The following is a 15,630-nucleotide window of genomic DNA, read 5'->3' as shown; positions in this document are numbered from 1 at the left end:
CTGTCTTCTCTCTCACTGTTCTTCTCCATATACACATATAAACACAAAATAAAACAAAATAAACCTGTTTCTCTTCCAATATTCTTTCAACCATCCATCCAGTTATATGGAAACCCAGAAGCCCTTCTTTTCACTTCCCTTTCCTTACCTTCCATATACAATTCATAAATAAGCCTCATCTGTTGTGTAATAAATAATTCTCACCTGTAGTTGTTTCTTCTAACCACCAGGGTCACCTCTAATTCAAGCAACCATCACCCCCCATTTGAAGGATTTCCATACCCTCCTAACAGTCCCATAGATACCCATCCTTGCTCCCTCTCATTCACTCTTCCCTGTTGAATCCAGAGGGATCTTTTCCAAAAATGAACCTGATTCTTCCATGTTCCTTTGCCTAATTGAAGCTTACTCATCCTTCAGATTTCAGCTTACACATCACTTTCTCACAGAAGCTTTCAAGGCTCTTCTACATGCTCTTCTCCTACCATATCTTTTTTTCCATTTTAGCCCATGTCATGACTGCAGCTTTGTGTGATTGATGCATTATTTTGCCTCTCCATCCAGATAGCAAGCTCCATGAGAACAAGGCCTGCCTCCACTTTTGCTTGTAATTCTATCTTACAACTTAGCACAGTGCCTGACTCCTTCATTCATTCATTCAACAAATATTTGTTGAAAGCCTACTATGTGCCTGTTACTGTGTTATCCTAGACACTGAGGATACACCAGGGAACCAAACAATGTGAGGGAGATCATAAATGAACATCAACAAAAAGTAAACAAAGAAATGTATGTTAAGCAGTGATGAGTATTAGAAAAAGAAGTAAAGGAAGTTAAAGGAAGTGTACTATTTCAGGTAAGGTGATCAGGGAAGTCCTCTCAGTAGGCAGATATTTCAGCAGAAGTATGAAGGAAGAAAGTCGTGGGCCTCATTGTTATTTAAGGGAGGAACAATTAAGACAGGAACAGTAAGAAAAAGGACTCTGAGATGGAAACTCAAGAAACAATAAGGAGCAGAGCAAGTGAAGTGAACAGTACTTGGAGGTAAGGTCAGAGAAGTTTCAAGAGGTTAGATCATAATCATATAGGCCGTAAGTGACAGACACAGAGATGAATCACTCAGAATCCAAGGAAGTACATGTTGCCCACCTTTGAGAGTGCTGTGAACAGAAAGCTTTCAGCTGTTAGCTCCCTCAGGGAGTGCTTCAGTTTCAGAGAATAGCCTTTCTGGAGCTCATGCCCTTTCCAAGGCAGCCCACGTCTGGGGACTGATCAAGGCAGAAATATAAAAGGCTGTCCATGTTGTCCAAAGCAGGATAACTCTTAAATGCACTATTTCAGCTCCTGAGTGTTGTTTGTTTGTTTGTTTTTTAAGACAGTCTTACTCTGTCACCCAGGCTGGAATGCAGTGGCACAATCACGGCTTACTGCAGCCTCGACTGCCCAGGTTCTAGCAATCCTCCCATCTCAGCCTCTTAAGTAACTGGGACTAAAGTCACGTGCCACAATGCCTTGCTAATTTTTTAATTTTTTTTGTAGAGAGGGGGGTCTCACTTTGTTTCCCAGGCTGATGTGAACCCCTGGGCTCAAGCAATCCTCCTGCCTTTGCCTCCCAAAGTGTTGGGATTACAGGTGTGAGCCACAGTGCCCAGCCAACTCCTGAGTTCTTGATGGCCTTGATGGAGGAATGTGTTGTCAGGCCCAAATTGTAGGTCTTCCCCCTCTGCTCAATCCTGATTCCTTTCTCACCCTTCCACAGGTTTGGATACCAAGGCCATTTCCTAATCAACACCCTGGACACTAAACTCAGTCTCAGAATCTGCTTTCTCAACAAACAAGCAAATGAACAAAAACCTCCAAAATACATACATAAAATGAAATGTCCTCTCTCATCCCTGCCCCCAGCTATCCAGTTCTTCTCACCACTGGGGCAACCAACGTTGTATGTTTCTTGTGTATTATTCACAGATAATGCCATATGTGAGCAAATACCTACCTACCTGCTTATATACATATGTATATATACACATATATAGGTAATGAATAAAGATAGATGACATATATTCATACATTTCTTTTGCTACACATATAGTAAACTATTCACTTTGTTCTAAATTTTAGTTTTTTCACTTAACAACATGGAGAGTTTTCTTTTCTTCTCTCTTTTTTTTTTTTAATTTCTGAGGCAGGATCTCACTCTGTCCCCCAAGCTAGAGTCCAGTGGCATGATCTCAGCTCACTGCAACCTCAACCTCCAGGGCTCAAGCAATCCTCCCACCTCAGCCTCCCAAGTATGTGGGACCACAGGTGTGTGCTACCACTCTCAGCTCCAAGCTAATTTTGGGTTTTGGTTTTTTTGTTGTTTTTGTTTTGTTTTGCTTCGTTTTTTGTAGAGACAGGGTCTTACTATGTTGCCCAGGCTGATCTCCAACTCCTGGGCTCAAGCAATCCACCTGCTTCAGCCTCCCAAAGTGCTGGGATTACAGTCATGAGCCACTGCACCCAACCGAGAGTTTTTTATAATAGTACAGACATTTATCATAGAGCTCCCAGTATTCTTTTTTTTAACAGTTGCATGATATTCCATTGGGTAAATATAACAGTATTTATTTAACCTGTTTTTTATATTGCTTCTGAACTTATACTATTACTTATGTTGAAATGAATAATTTAACCTTTATTTTTTTAAAGCTGTGGTGGATATTGTATATTGGTTTGCTCAATAACCATTACCACTTTCTTTCATTATGCGTTCCTGCAGAGAAGAGTTGGTGTTATGAACTGAACTGTGTCCACCAGAAATTCTTTTTTTTGTTTGTTTTTTGTTTTTGAGATGGAGTCTCGCTCTCTGTCCCCTCAGGCTGGAGTAGAATGGCACCATCTTGGCTCACTGAAGCCTCTGCCTCCTGGGTTCAAGCAATTCTCCTGCCTCAGCCTCCCAAGTAGCTAGGATTACAGGTGCATACCACCACAACTGGCTAATTTTTGTATTTTTAGTAGAGATGGGGTTTCACCATGTTGGTCAGGCTGGTCTCGAACTCCTGGCCTCAAATAGTCTGCCCACCTCAGTCTCCCAAAGTGCAGGGATTACAGGCGTGAGCCACCACACCCGGCCTTCACCCAAAATTCTTATGTTGAACCTGTAATCCCCAGTGTGGCTGTATTTGGAGATAGGGCCTCAAGGGAGGTGTTTGAGGTTAAGTGAGGTCATAATGGTGGGGCTCTAATCTGATAGGACTGGGGTCCTTGTAAGAAGAGGAAGAGACACCGGAGACATCTCTGTCTGTGTACACACAAAGGAAAGGCCAGGGGAGAACATAGCAAGAAGGTGGCCATCTGCAAACCAGGAAGACAGGCCTCATGGAAACTAACACTGACAGTACCTTGATCATGGACTTCTACCTTCCAGAAGTGTGCGAAAATGAGGCCATGCATGGTGACTTACACCTGTAATCCCAGTACCTCTGAGACACGAGGACCACTTGAGCCAAGGAGTTTGAGACCAGTCTGGACAACAGTGAGACTCCATCTGTACAAACAATTTTTAAAAAAAAAGAAAAAAAAAGCTTTGCATTGGTGGCACATGCCTATAGTCCCAGCTACTCAGGAGGCTGAGGCGGGAGGATTGCTTGAGCCCAGGAGTTCAAGGCTCCAGTGAACCATGATTGCACTACTGCACTTCAGCCTGGATGACACAGTGAGACCCTGTCAAAAAACAAAACAAAACAAAAGAAGCAAAAACCAAAAAACCCCAGAACTGTGAGAAAATGAATTTCTGCTGTTTAAGCCACTCAGTCTAGTATTTTGCTATGATAGCCTAAACAGACTAATACAGTTGAAAAAGCTAAACATTACATTTCCAAGACTTCTTTGAAGCTGTAATTGCCATAGTTGTAGCAGCACCTTTGATTGACACTCCTGGAAGCTCAGCCCACAGTCCATTTCCTCAGTCCTCCCAGAGATTCCAAAAGTCCTTTAATCCTTGTAATATATCTATTATTCCTTATGTCAGCTCAAGTGAATTCTATTCTCTGTAACTGACTCTAGTTAGTACACAGCTAAACTGCTGGGGAGGCTCTAGTTTGGGGTTGAGGGCACACGGACAAAGTTTGTGCGTTCCCTGGAGTAGCAAGCTTTCAAACAGAACTTCCAGCTGGAGGATGGCTATATGGTGTGTGTAAGCAGGCTGAGCCTGGCACCACAGGTCCAGCTCGGAAATGAAAGAAGAGTGACGCTTGCCTTCTAATTATCTGTTCTAGCCATGAGCAAACTGTTATTGGAAGATGGAGGAAGGGGGTCCGATTCTCAACAGTGGTGATATCGCCCCCAAGGGGACAAAAGAGTTCTTCAGGGGGAGCATGAAAAAAAAATACCCTTTTCATGCATAAAGCACAGACATACATCATAGAAGACTTAAACAGTTATACAGTGTATTTGTGGTGTTACATTTTAATGGAGGGGGAGTGGTTAATAAAAAATGTCTGAAAAGATGGGGTGGGGGATGATAAGGAAAAGAGGGTTGAGAAGCACTGCTGTAGATATTATGAAGAGCATGTCGTATGCCAGCAAACAAGATGCCCATGTTGAAGCTGGGTGAGGTGGCTCACGCCTGTAATCCCAGCACTTTGGGAGGCCGAGGTGAGAGGATCACTTGAGCCCAGGCGTCCGGGACCAGCCTGGCAACTTACAAAACAAAAAATTTAAAATAAAAAAATTAGCCAGGCATGGTGGCACACACCTGTAGTCCCAGCTACTCAGGAGGCTGAGGTGGGAGGATCACCAGAGCCCAGGAGTTCAAGGCTGCAGTGAGCTATGATCACACCACACTACACTCCAGCCCAGGTGACAGAGCAAGATCCTGCCTAAAAAAAAAAAAAAAATTGCCCCATGTTTTAGGATGTTTTAGGATGAGCATGAGAAAGGCCATGTTACTGCCAACTAAGCAGCTTTTTCTTAACAACCATATTGTTTGGTGATCACAAAGCAAAATTTAAGCATTTTATATTCTAACATTATAAGTATTCATGTTCCTTATATATTTGAGTTACACTTTAGGAGGTTATTTATTGCGGGATCTGGCCAGCAGCCCACAATGCAACGGGGCTCTCTCTTTGTTCCCAGGCAGATCGGCAGGTAGAGAAATAATAGACACACACGATAGTGAAAGCTGGGTCCAGGGGGGTCACTGCCTTCTGGTCCCGCTATGCCAACAATGCACTGGATATACCAGCATTTATTACTAAGTTTAGTGAGGGCGGGGGTAGGTTAGTGAGGGATTTAGGGTCATTTGATTATGAGGTGTGATGGTCACATGGAGATGAAGTAATTCTTTAACATAACATCTGTATGCAGAAGTACAGTATACAGGGATAAGAATTTACAATATAGTGTGTGCATCAGTAATTTCTAACAGAGCCTTAAAACAGAAACACAGTCTTTCCATAACCTATGATTAGCAAGATATTAATCAGAGTAACAGTTGCAGCAAAAGCTGGTTACAAACAATCCATAGAAACAGGACGTGAAGCTAGACAACTGGTTAGACCAGAAATTCTCGGAAGGAAGTATGCCTTAACCCTAAAGAGGCCTAGAAGAGCCGTGGCAAGATGAGGGTGTTTATAGCCCTATCTTATCCATATGGACAGGCGCCCCCCATGCGTCCGTTTATAGGTTCTCCACAAGGGTCGCATTCCATTCCCAGAGCTATGAACATTTGCTTTTCTGGGATAGGAATCTTGGTGATGTGAAACCTCCCTGACTGCACGTCTGTTCATAGGCTCTCTGCAGGGGGAAGCACATCACGCGCTGTTGACTCGTTCTGGCAGTCCAACCTGGCATTGTCTTTACACAATCCTGCATGCAACTTTGTATTTACAATAATCAGGAGTGTTTCATTTTTTATTCCATAGCAATAGTTTCGGGGGGTCTCCCTAAAGTTATTTGGAGGTTTGGGGTTGAACTGCAATGCATTGTAATTTTCCCTACATAAAATAATGAGAAATAGGCTCCCAGTTGGCATTGACACCCAGAACCTCAGATGATAAGGAACAAATTTGTTTAAAGTTCCATCAAAAGAGAAAGAGAATATGGATTTAATGAGGACTTGGGCTGTAAATGGCAGAAGGTTTTCTGGGTGGGATATAAAGACAGTACTTCTGAACATTTTATTGGCAGGTACCTCTGCAGGAATTTGATAACAACCTGGGACCTCATGCTGGTTATTTTTAATTTGTTCCCTCCGAATATATTCTCTGACCTTTTCTATGCCCAAGGAAGTTGATCTTTGTAGGCTGAGACTGATCTTTACGAAATATGTTACCCTGACTCCCTTCTCTGTGTTTTGGTTAGGCCAATGAGAGGCACTGACAGGAGATGGGGACGGGGGGTACCTATTCACTGTCCCTCTCTCAGCCAGTTGTGATTGGCAGAGACTCTGTGCCTCTACCCAAGTCCACGCATGTAGTTCGGTGACCCCTATCCCAAGGCTTGCAGTTCCCTGGGTTCTGCTAATGGCTCCCTTTCCATTCCCCTCCAGGCCCACAGGTAGAATGCCTTCACAACATTGCTAAGTCCTTGGTGCACTCTGGTGCACAACCCTGTTCACAACTCTGTAAACAGTTCACTAAACTGGCTTCAGTTACCCCGTTGCATGGGAAGGGGTAATACAGGTAACTCCTTCTTGTCCATCTTTCAGCATGCCATCTGTTTCCTCTTAAAACCCTAACTGACAGGATACTCTCTCCAGAAAACAAAATAGGTGGACTTACGAAAGCTTCGCATGTAATACTAAGGGCTCCTCAGACTCACTCTGAAGCCCAGCCAAGGATGTGGAGAAGGCAGAGGACTCAAGGAACACCAGTTAAAAATCTCTCTTCTCGGATTTGGTAAGCCACCAACACTGCATTCCCTTACACATCACAACCTAGCATTTGAGGGTAAAAGTAGTGGATGCACCAGGTGGTGAAAGGGGTTAGAGATTTGCCTGTATCTTTCCCTCCTTCTATCTTTTTTTTCAGAGACAGGATATCACTCTGTCACCCAGACTGGAGTGCCGTGGTACAATCATGGTTCACTGTAGCCTCAAACTCCTAGGCTCAAATGATTCTCCTGCCTCAGCCTCCTAAGTAGCTAGGACTCAAAGTCTAATCAAACAAGTGGCCTTTCTGGTGTGGCCAGACCCTACCCTGAGTCATCTCATTTGTGTAAACTCTCCAGGGGCTCACCAAGAGTAGCCTCATTAGCATAAATGCAAGTGAGGTCTGAGGGGCCCACCATGAATAACAAAGGTGCTCCTACCACTCGCGATATTCCAAGGGTTGAGAAGCCCCTTTCTAGGAACCAGTGACAAAGACCAGCCAAATTCTTTATTGTATAAAAGCAGCCCTCCTGTCTACCAATCTGATCCTCTTCCTTGCACCTCCTGCTTGCCTCAGATGGCAAAAGTTTCCTAACTCTGCTGATTTCCCACCACCGCCCGAGGAAAACAATGACAATCTCTCCTCCTTCCTGCAAGCCCAGGAATTCCCCTGTGGCGAAGATATGGGTTTGGTACTGAGCTGATTATACAATCAGAACAGCTGGCACTAAGTTGTCAGTTGTCAGTAGGTTTTATCCTACTATCGGTAGGTTTGCATTTTAAGGGAGGAGGTGGTTAAAATGATGAGTTGAGGCTATTAATTGGCAGGTAGTGCAAAGCTGTGTAATGAGGGGCAGCGTGATGTCATACTGCTAGCAGTAGCGAATCTGTACAGGTCTGCAACAACCTCAATTCTTGCCTTCTTAGAAGAAAGAATTCCACCAAGGGGCATAAGGCAGAGGGAGAGGCTGAGGCAAGTTTTAGAGCAGGAGTGAAAGTTCATTAAAAAGTTTAGAGCAAGTCCGGCCGCGGTGGCTCACGCCTGTAATCCCAGCACTTTGGGAGGCCGACATGGGTGGATAATGAGGTCAGGAGATCGAGACCATCCTGGCTAACACGGTGAAACCCCGTCTCTACTAAAAATACAAAAAACTAGCCGGGCGTCATGGCGGGCGCCTGTAGTCCCAGCTACTCTGGAGGCTGAGGCAGGAGAATGGCGTGAACCCGGGAGGCGGAGCTTGCAGTGAGCCGAGATCGCGCCACTGCACTCCAGCCTGGGCGAGAGCGAGACTCCGCCTCAAAAAAAAAAAAAAAAGTTTAGAGCAGGAATGATCGGGCGCGGTGGCTTACGCCTGTAATCCCAACACTTTGGGAGGCCGAGGTGGGCAGATCGTCTGAGGTCAGGAGTTCGAGACCAGCTCGGCCAACATAGTGAAACCCCGTCTCTACTAAAAATACAAAAATTAGCCAGGCGTGGTGGTGTGCTCCTGTAATCCCAACTACTAGGGAGGCTGAGGCAGGAGAATTGCTTGAACCTGGGAGCCAGAGGTTGCAGTGAGCTAAGATTCTGCCACTGCGCTCCAGCCTGGGTGACAGAGTGAGACTCCATCTCGGGAAAAAAAAGTTTAGAGCAGGAACGAAAGGAAGAACCCTTGGAAGAGGGCCAAGCAGGTGACTTGAGAGATCAAGTGTGTGGTCTGATCTTTGACTTGCGGTTCTATACGTTGGCATGCCTCTGGGGTCTTGTGTCCCTTCTCCCCTGATTCTTCCCTGGGGTGGGCTGTCCACATACACAGTGGCCTGCCAGCACTTGGGAGAGGAGCATGCGCAGTGTGTTTACTGGCGTTGTATGCATGCTCAATTGAGGCATTTTTCCCCTACCCAGGCATTTAAACTCTGCTATTTTGCCTCTTACTGACTGGAGTTTTTCCCTCAGGAGGTGAGTGTTCCTGGAGGAATGTCATATACCATTTAAACTCCGCCATTTTGCGTCTTAGTGACTTGACGTGTTTTTCCCTTACCAGTCAAGTGTTCCTAGAGGAAAGTCATATATCAGTTAAACTCTGCTATTTTACCTCTTAGTGTGTATGCTTGAGCCCACTCGCCCAACTCCTGAGATCTTACTGGAAGCTGCTGATCACCAGTTTCAGGTGTTTCAATTTATTAGGAGACTGCCCTTTCCTAGATACAAGCTGCAACCAATTATTATTTTAGAGAGGCAGTTTAACAACTGCCTGACTATCACATGATGGTCACCTGGCATTCCTGGCTGGGGGTTGGTGGGGGCGCTCTCCTGCTCTGCTCATGTCTGACTACCTACCTACCGTAACAATAATCAGGGCAAATCCTTTGCCTCAGAAACAAGATCTGTGACTCTTGACCAAGAAATTGAATCTAAGCCTCAGTAACTTGCATACAGTAATCCTCATCTTCCAGAGTTATGGGGTTTGCTGTGATTATTTTTGGTGGTGAGCTTTCTGGTGCTTGCAGGAGATCTCTGGATCTTTTTCTTCTCTCCAGCCTCTCCCCTCCCTCTGCTTCCTGCGTCATTGGGCCTGGAAATGTATACAGAGAATTGTTACTGAAACGATCACTGCTCTAAGTACCTTTGCACCTGACTCAGCACCTCTGGGGTGGAGCGAAACAGAGTAGAGGCATGGCTTAGGGAGTGAGTATGGGCTGGCACAGAGCACCAAAGCTATTGGAAGCCCAAGAAGCATAGAGTCCCGATGCAGAGGCTTGCCTATATTGAAATGGCTAGCTAGGGAGATGGCAACATCTCTTTTGAAGGTGGCTGGGAGAGTGGGTGTGGGCTTTGGGAGGGGAAAGAATTGTTCAAGATGATTTGACTCTGGTGCTACAGCAAACCCAGGGCATCAATCGAGTGGGCTGGAGCACAGTGGCATGATTATGTCTTCTCTCTTGTTAGCTTGGGATAGCACTTTCCTTGGTTAGGTCAAATGCTCAAAATTCCATGCTGTGTCAGCAGGTGGCTTCAGAGGCAGCTGTTTGGTAAGACGGCAGCAAAATGAAAGGCTGCAGAGCAAACCAACACTGCATAATCTCCAGGAATCTTTATGCAAACATAAAGCGATATTTGTACCAATTAGATTTAACATGAATAAATGTGGATGTAACAGTGGATTCTGAGCATAGATACTCTGTGATGTGAATCATTTGGAATGAATTCCTAGAGAGAGAGTGCCTAGGTGCCAAATACCTCGCTCCAGAATGTTATGGGTCACTTTTCCTCCTTGGCCACAGATTTTCTCTAAAGTTAGTTGTCAAATCTTCTCATCTTGGCACCCCCCCATCTTCCCCCACCCCTACCTCTGCAAGCCAGTCTTCCTCCAGAAAACAAAAGATCAAGATTAGGTAGGTCTCATTCCTGGCTTTATAGGAGAATTCTGGTGCTTGGGGGCCAGTTCTAGTTCTTGGAGCCCCAAAGCTGTAGAAACCTGCAAAACTGGTCTCAAGTTAAGCAGGAACCTGAGAGAGGAGGATACCCATTGGAAATGTGAGGTTCGAGTACACATTATGAAACATGGCCTGAGAAGAGCGCCTGATTCACTTCTAAATATACCAAAGGCTGGAAAGCAGGGTGCTTGCCAGTCAAACTGTGAAAACAGCAACATTTTTCCAGGATATCTTTCTGGACTCTCTCTGATGCCAACACCCTACCCCCTACCTTCAACTCTGCAGCTGCCCTCCAATTTAAGGTTGATCTACCATCAGTGAGCACCCACCAGGTGTCACTTCCTTTAGTCTCCTGTATTTTATTCTTTGTCTCTTAACTCTTCCTTGTAGGATCTTATATTTTCAAGGGTCAGGTTGAATGGAATTCATGGAATTACATAAATCTAGAGTTGGAAGTAGAAAAGAAGGGAGAGGAGTAAAAGAAGGTCGTGAGTGCCTTCCACGACCCAAACACTGTCACATCTGTTCTCACCTCACAATCATCCTGTATGAGGAAGGGAGTAGTATTCCAATTTTTCTCACTTTTGAGGAGAGGGACAGAAAGAGCTTGAGGATAATCACAATACCACTAGGAGGTAGTGGGAGTGAAGGCCCTCAACAAAACCTTCTCCTGCCCAGGGAAGAGCCCAACAGATCTCTTTTGAATTCACGAACATGTCCCCTCTTCTGTATTTTCTACTGCAGTGAATGGCATCCCCAGGCAATGAGCTGCATGAGACTACAACCTGGGCACCGCCTTTGACTATGCTTTTTCCCTTATCCCATAATCAACCACGCACCAAATTCTGTAGATATCACCTCCTAAATAACTTTCAAAAAAGTCCCCTACTCAGCATCCCCACTGTCACTTTCCTAGGTCACCTACCATTGTTTCTTGCACATGCCTCTGTCTGCTCCATGTTGAATTAAGAGGTGTGTATGGTGGGATGGGTGGGGGAGCGTGCTGAAGAAGAGTGAAGAGCTGCAGAAGTATCTTTATATTTGAATTGCCCTTTCACAATATTAAATCAAACAATAGTATATATGGAATGTTTAGAGCATTGTGCTTAACACTGTACCTACTCAGTACATGGGGTGAGTATTAATAGGGAAATCACATGCAAATGACTTCCTGGTTAATGTGTTTATTCATTCATGCATTTGTATATTTATTAGAGAGAGGGTCTTGTTCTGTCACCCAGTTTGAGCTTATTGCAGCCTCAAACTTGAGCTCAAGTGATCCTCCCAGGTGCAAGCCACGGCACCTGTCCAGGTTAATGTGTTTAATATCGTAACTGCAACTCTGCTGGAGGGTAATCCTTTGTCTTCTTCTTCTATCTGGAAGCCATCTTTTAATTCTCCTGAGACTCTTCCTCCCTTTAAATTCCTTACTAAATTCTTTTTATACTAGATTTCAGAACAGAATGTTATTGATTTTTATAATACTCACTTGTCAAAAAATGTATTCGATCCAGGGAGGCAATACATAAATACCCACTTTAAATCTTTCTGCCTTTGTTAATAGTATATTGTTTCAGGGCTAGCAACCTCTGAACAGAGAAATATTGTCAGCTTTATCTAATGATGTAAGTAATGCGTTGGATTTCCCAGAGTCCATTAAAAAGTCGCTTTTCTCAGATAAATGTTTCGCCTGTCATCAGAAAATGATAGCCAAATTGGCAAGTGCACAGGTATTCGTAACTATTTAAAGAAGATGTGGAAATTCTGCACATTGAACCTCAGAATAGGAATTCCTCTTAAAGTGCTAGGAGACACTTGTGAATGTGTGGGACTGTTTTTGTTATCCTTGGTTGGAGCTATCAGGAGTTGACGGGCAAGTATCCTAAAGTTCATATGTTGACGCCCTAACCCCCAGTGTGCCTATATTTGGACATAGGGCCTTTAAAGAGGTAATTAAGGTTGAATGAGGTCATATGAGTGGATCCTAATCCAACATGACTGATGTCCTTAAAAGAAGAGGAAGAGATGCATGCGCAGAGGAAAGACCACATGAGGAGAGAAGATGGCCATCTGCAAGCCAAGGAGAGAGGCCAAAGGAGAAAAAAGATCTGCCCACACCTTGACCTTAGATTTCCAGCTTTTGGAATTGTTAGAAATAAATTTCTGTTATTTAAATCACCCAGTCTGTAGTATTTTGTTGTGGCAGCCCTAGCAAAATAAGACAGTAACAAACAGGAATGCCAAAGACCCTACAAAGGACAGGATGGCAGATCCTGCACACTAAAAAGTTGTCCTGCCCAGGCTAAACATGGTGGCTGATGCCTATCATACCCACCCTTTGGGAGGCTGAGAGGTAGGAGGATTGCTTGAGGCCAGGAGTTCGAGACCAGCATGGGCAACAAAGTGAGACCTTGTCTCTACAAAAAAATACAAAAATTAGTGAGGCATAGTGGCTCACTCCTGTAGTTCCAACTACTCGGGAGACTGAGGTAGGAGATGGCTTGAGCCTAGGAGGTTAAGGCTATAGGGAGCCATGATTATGCCACCGCACTCCAGCCTGGGTGACAAGGTGAGAACTCATCTTAAAAAAATAAAAATATCCTGCCCAAATGCAAATAGCATCCCCTTGAGAAACATTAATCTGTTCCCAACTCTTCGCATTATAGATAACCCCATTAGACTTCTCTTTGAGGAAAGGCACTATATTTTATTTATCTCTGTCCTGCCAGTGGCTAGCATTGTGTCTGCCACTCAGTGGGAACTTAGTAATTGCAAGGGCATGATATTTTAAAAATCATGTGTGTGTCTGTGCATTTTACCTTTCATCTCAGTTCACCTGAGCCATACATCTGCTTGGGGGTATGTCATGCAGTTCTTACTACTGAAGGGCTGCAGAGACAGAGTGGGATACTATTTAGCTTTTAACATAGAAAAATAAGATTTTGCTGCAAGACATTGATGACATTCTTTGCCAAGCTACTGTCTTGAGAAAGGACTGTCTAAAGTTCTTTAACACATCAAGGGCCTGTCTGGGGCTCCGTCAAAGAGTTCTTCTGAAGGGAGTTCCAGAAAGACAAAGTGAGTGGGTCAGGGTCGGGGAAGTCCTTTGACTGAAGGTGAAGAACTTTAGATTTAAAAAAGGTTAACACTGGGAGGGGGAACTATTGTCCCTCTCCTGCCTTTTCTCGTCACCCTGTCTGAAAATGACACCCCAGTGACCTATGGTTATCTGACATTTTGTTTTATATGTGTTTGTTTCTCTGTTTATTATCGTTCTCTTTGACTAGGATCTTAACTCCACAAGCCAGTTCTTTGTCTATTTAATTTCTGCTGTATTCTCAGCATCTAAAACAGTACCTGGCAGTTCAATAAATCTATTGAATGAACAAATGAGTTTTCTTTTCTCTTCCTTTCCCTGCAACATCTAAAAAAAGAGAAGAAATCATTTCATTTGAGAGCATATCTTAAAAGCTTTTGCTTTCGAAGCCATTCACTGGATTTTCTGTACTTCAGAGGAAATCCTAGAAACTGGCCTAATAAAATCTCATCCTGAAAGATCTAAGAACAGGAGCATCTCTGACTTATTGCTTATTGCTCTGCATGCCACGTTTGTTCCCTTTGAATTCCTTTACAAAGTTTATGGTGTGACAAATAGCATCTATAATGACACCGGGCCACTAATTGCTCAGAAAGTGCCCTGATAAAATAGAGTTGATGCCCTGGGTGCTTGCCTCTTCCTGGCAGGCAAACCTGGGCATGTTTTCCGTGACTGGTGACCCCTTAGTAGAACCTCACAGGTTCCTGGGTCTTCGTGGGGCTGCCGAGAGCAGCATGTCATGTCACTGAAGGAAGCTGTACGTCCTTCTCATCCATCATCTCTGTAGGAAGTGCATAGGGGTGAAAAGGTGAAGACAAGATTCTGCATTAGAAAAACAATTCTAGCAGGAAATCCTGTGCATTCAGATCACTGAGTTTTGGTCATCAGTGTTGGGACTTTTCTTACACACACACACACACACACACACACACACACACACACACATCCTAGGAAACATCAGGCCAAGTGATCAAGAATGCGCATCTTCACAAAGGGTTGTGACCATCAAGTTCTTTGTTCGTTAGTGTCCAGAAAGTTCAACCACATTCCTTTGGGATGAATTACATGGTGACTATTAGGGTGGGAAAAGGAAGGAGAAAGGGGAAATTCACAAAGGGCATGGCAGTTTACAATGGACAGTTCCATAATGTCAAATTCACATGCAGAACAAGTGATTTGTTACCTGGGACAGGGACTAATCTAAAATGGATTCTCTTCACCTGCATAAAGGAGAAACCTATTGAAAAATAAGATTTTGCTGCAAGACATTAATGATATTATTGAGGATAATAGGATTGGATAACAGGACAAAATAATGGGCTTCTGACATATATTGTCACGATAAAAAGGACTTTCATCTGTTTAGCGGTGAAAAGCTGACCAAGTGCTTGCATGCCAATATGCTACTTATTCTCATCACAAGTTTGTGAAGGAAAATATGTCCCTTCTACAGGCAGGAAAACCGAGGCTCCTGAGAGGCGGAAGTGGGTTGCCCAAGCCGGTGGAACCAGTGATGGAGGCAGGTCTCGGGTTCTGGTCTTCCAGCCCCACGGCAGAGTGTCTTCCACTGCACCTGAATGCAGCACTCCGTGATGGGTCTTAAGTAGAGTGACCATGTGATTTATCATTGAAAATGGGACCCTTTGGAGACTAAAAGAGGCTCCATGAATAATTATGCTGAGACAATAACTGGAAACCAGGACTGTCCTGTGACTACTTAGATGAATTGTTGCCTTCATCACAGGGCAGAAGCAGAGGGGACCTGCACGCCTCCCTGCTCATCTGCTGCAGCAGGGAGAGCCCTGTCATGGCTCAGAGCCAGACTTCTCTTTCCTTTGGCAGGAGACATAAATCTTTATCTCTTTTTTTGAAAGCAAGTGGCCTTTCAGTCTTGAGTGACAAAGGTCAATGAACGGATGTGGTTGGGAGTAGTGCAGTCACGAAGAGCCAGTTCTCCCTTTTCTCTGTGCCACTGTGTCTGACCAGTTTGGACGCCAAAGCTCCAAAACTGTAGCCAGTACTTGGAAGATATAACCAAGAGTAAAGGAAGAAAAATGACTCATCTGAAGAATGGAGAACGAGGCTGATGAGAACTGTCAGAGACGACAACCTGGGCAACTTCGCTCCGACAGCTGAGCAGCAAGCAGATTGGGTGTCACCATTAGTCTGGGGGCCTCCGCTGGGAAAGGCAAATTTTATCATGTGGATGAGGTCATGAGGCTTCCTAGAGAGGGGCACAGTCTACCCCACCTGGCTAGCT

At 44.4% G+C, this 15,630-nt stretch overlaps 2 annotated features.

Moving 5' to 3' along the window:
- Window positions 7,533-8,288: an enhancer, noted in NCBI's record as "OCT4-NANOG-H3K27ac-H3K4me1 hESC enhancer chr8:125975481-125976236 (GRCh37/hg19 assembly coordinates)". NCBI's record gives its function as "activates a minimal SCP1, AML or CMV promoter by ChIP-STARR-seq in primed H9 embryonic stem cells {active_cell/tissue: H9 hESC(primed)}" and the evidence as "EXISTENCE:reporter gene assay evidence [ECO:0000049][PMID:30033119]".
- Window positions 14,046-15,245: an enhancer, noted in NCBI's record as "BRD4-independent group 4 enhancer chr8:125968524-125969723 (GRCh37/hg19 assembly coordinates)". NCBI's record gives its function as "activates an origin of replication core promoter dependent on BRD2, P300/CBP, MED14 and CDK7 cofactors, and independent of BRD4, by STARR-seq in HCT116 cells {active_cell/tissue: HCT116}" and the evidence as "EXISTENCE:reporter gene assay evidence [ECO:0000049][PMID:35650434]".

This window comes from Homo sapiens, chromosome 8 (genome assembly GCF_000001405.40).
Source record: "Homo sapiens chromosome 8, GRCh38.p14 Primary Assembly".
NCBI lineage: Eukaryota > Metazoa > Chordata > Mammalia > Primates > Hominidae > Homo > Homo sapiens.
The sequence above is the reverse complement of the archived record's forward strand: the minus strand, read 5'-3'. Positions and strand labels throughout refer to the sequence as shown.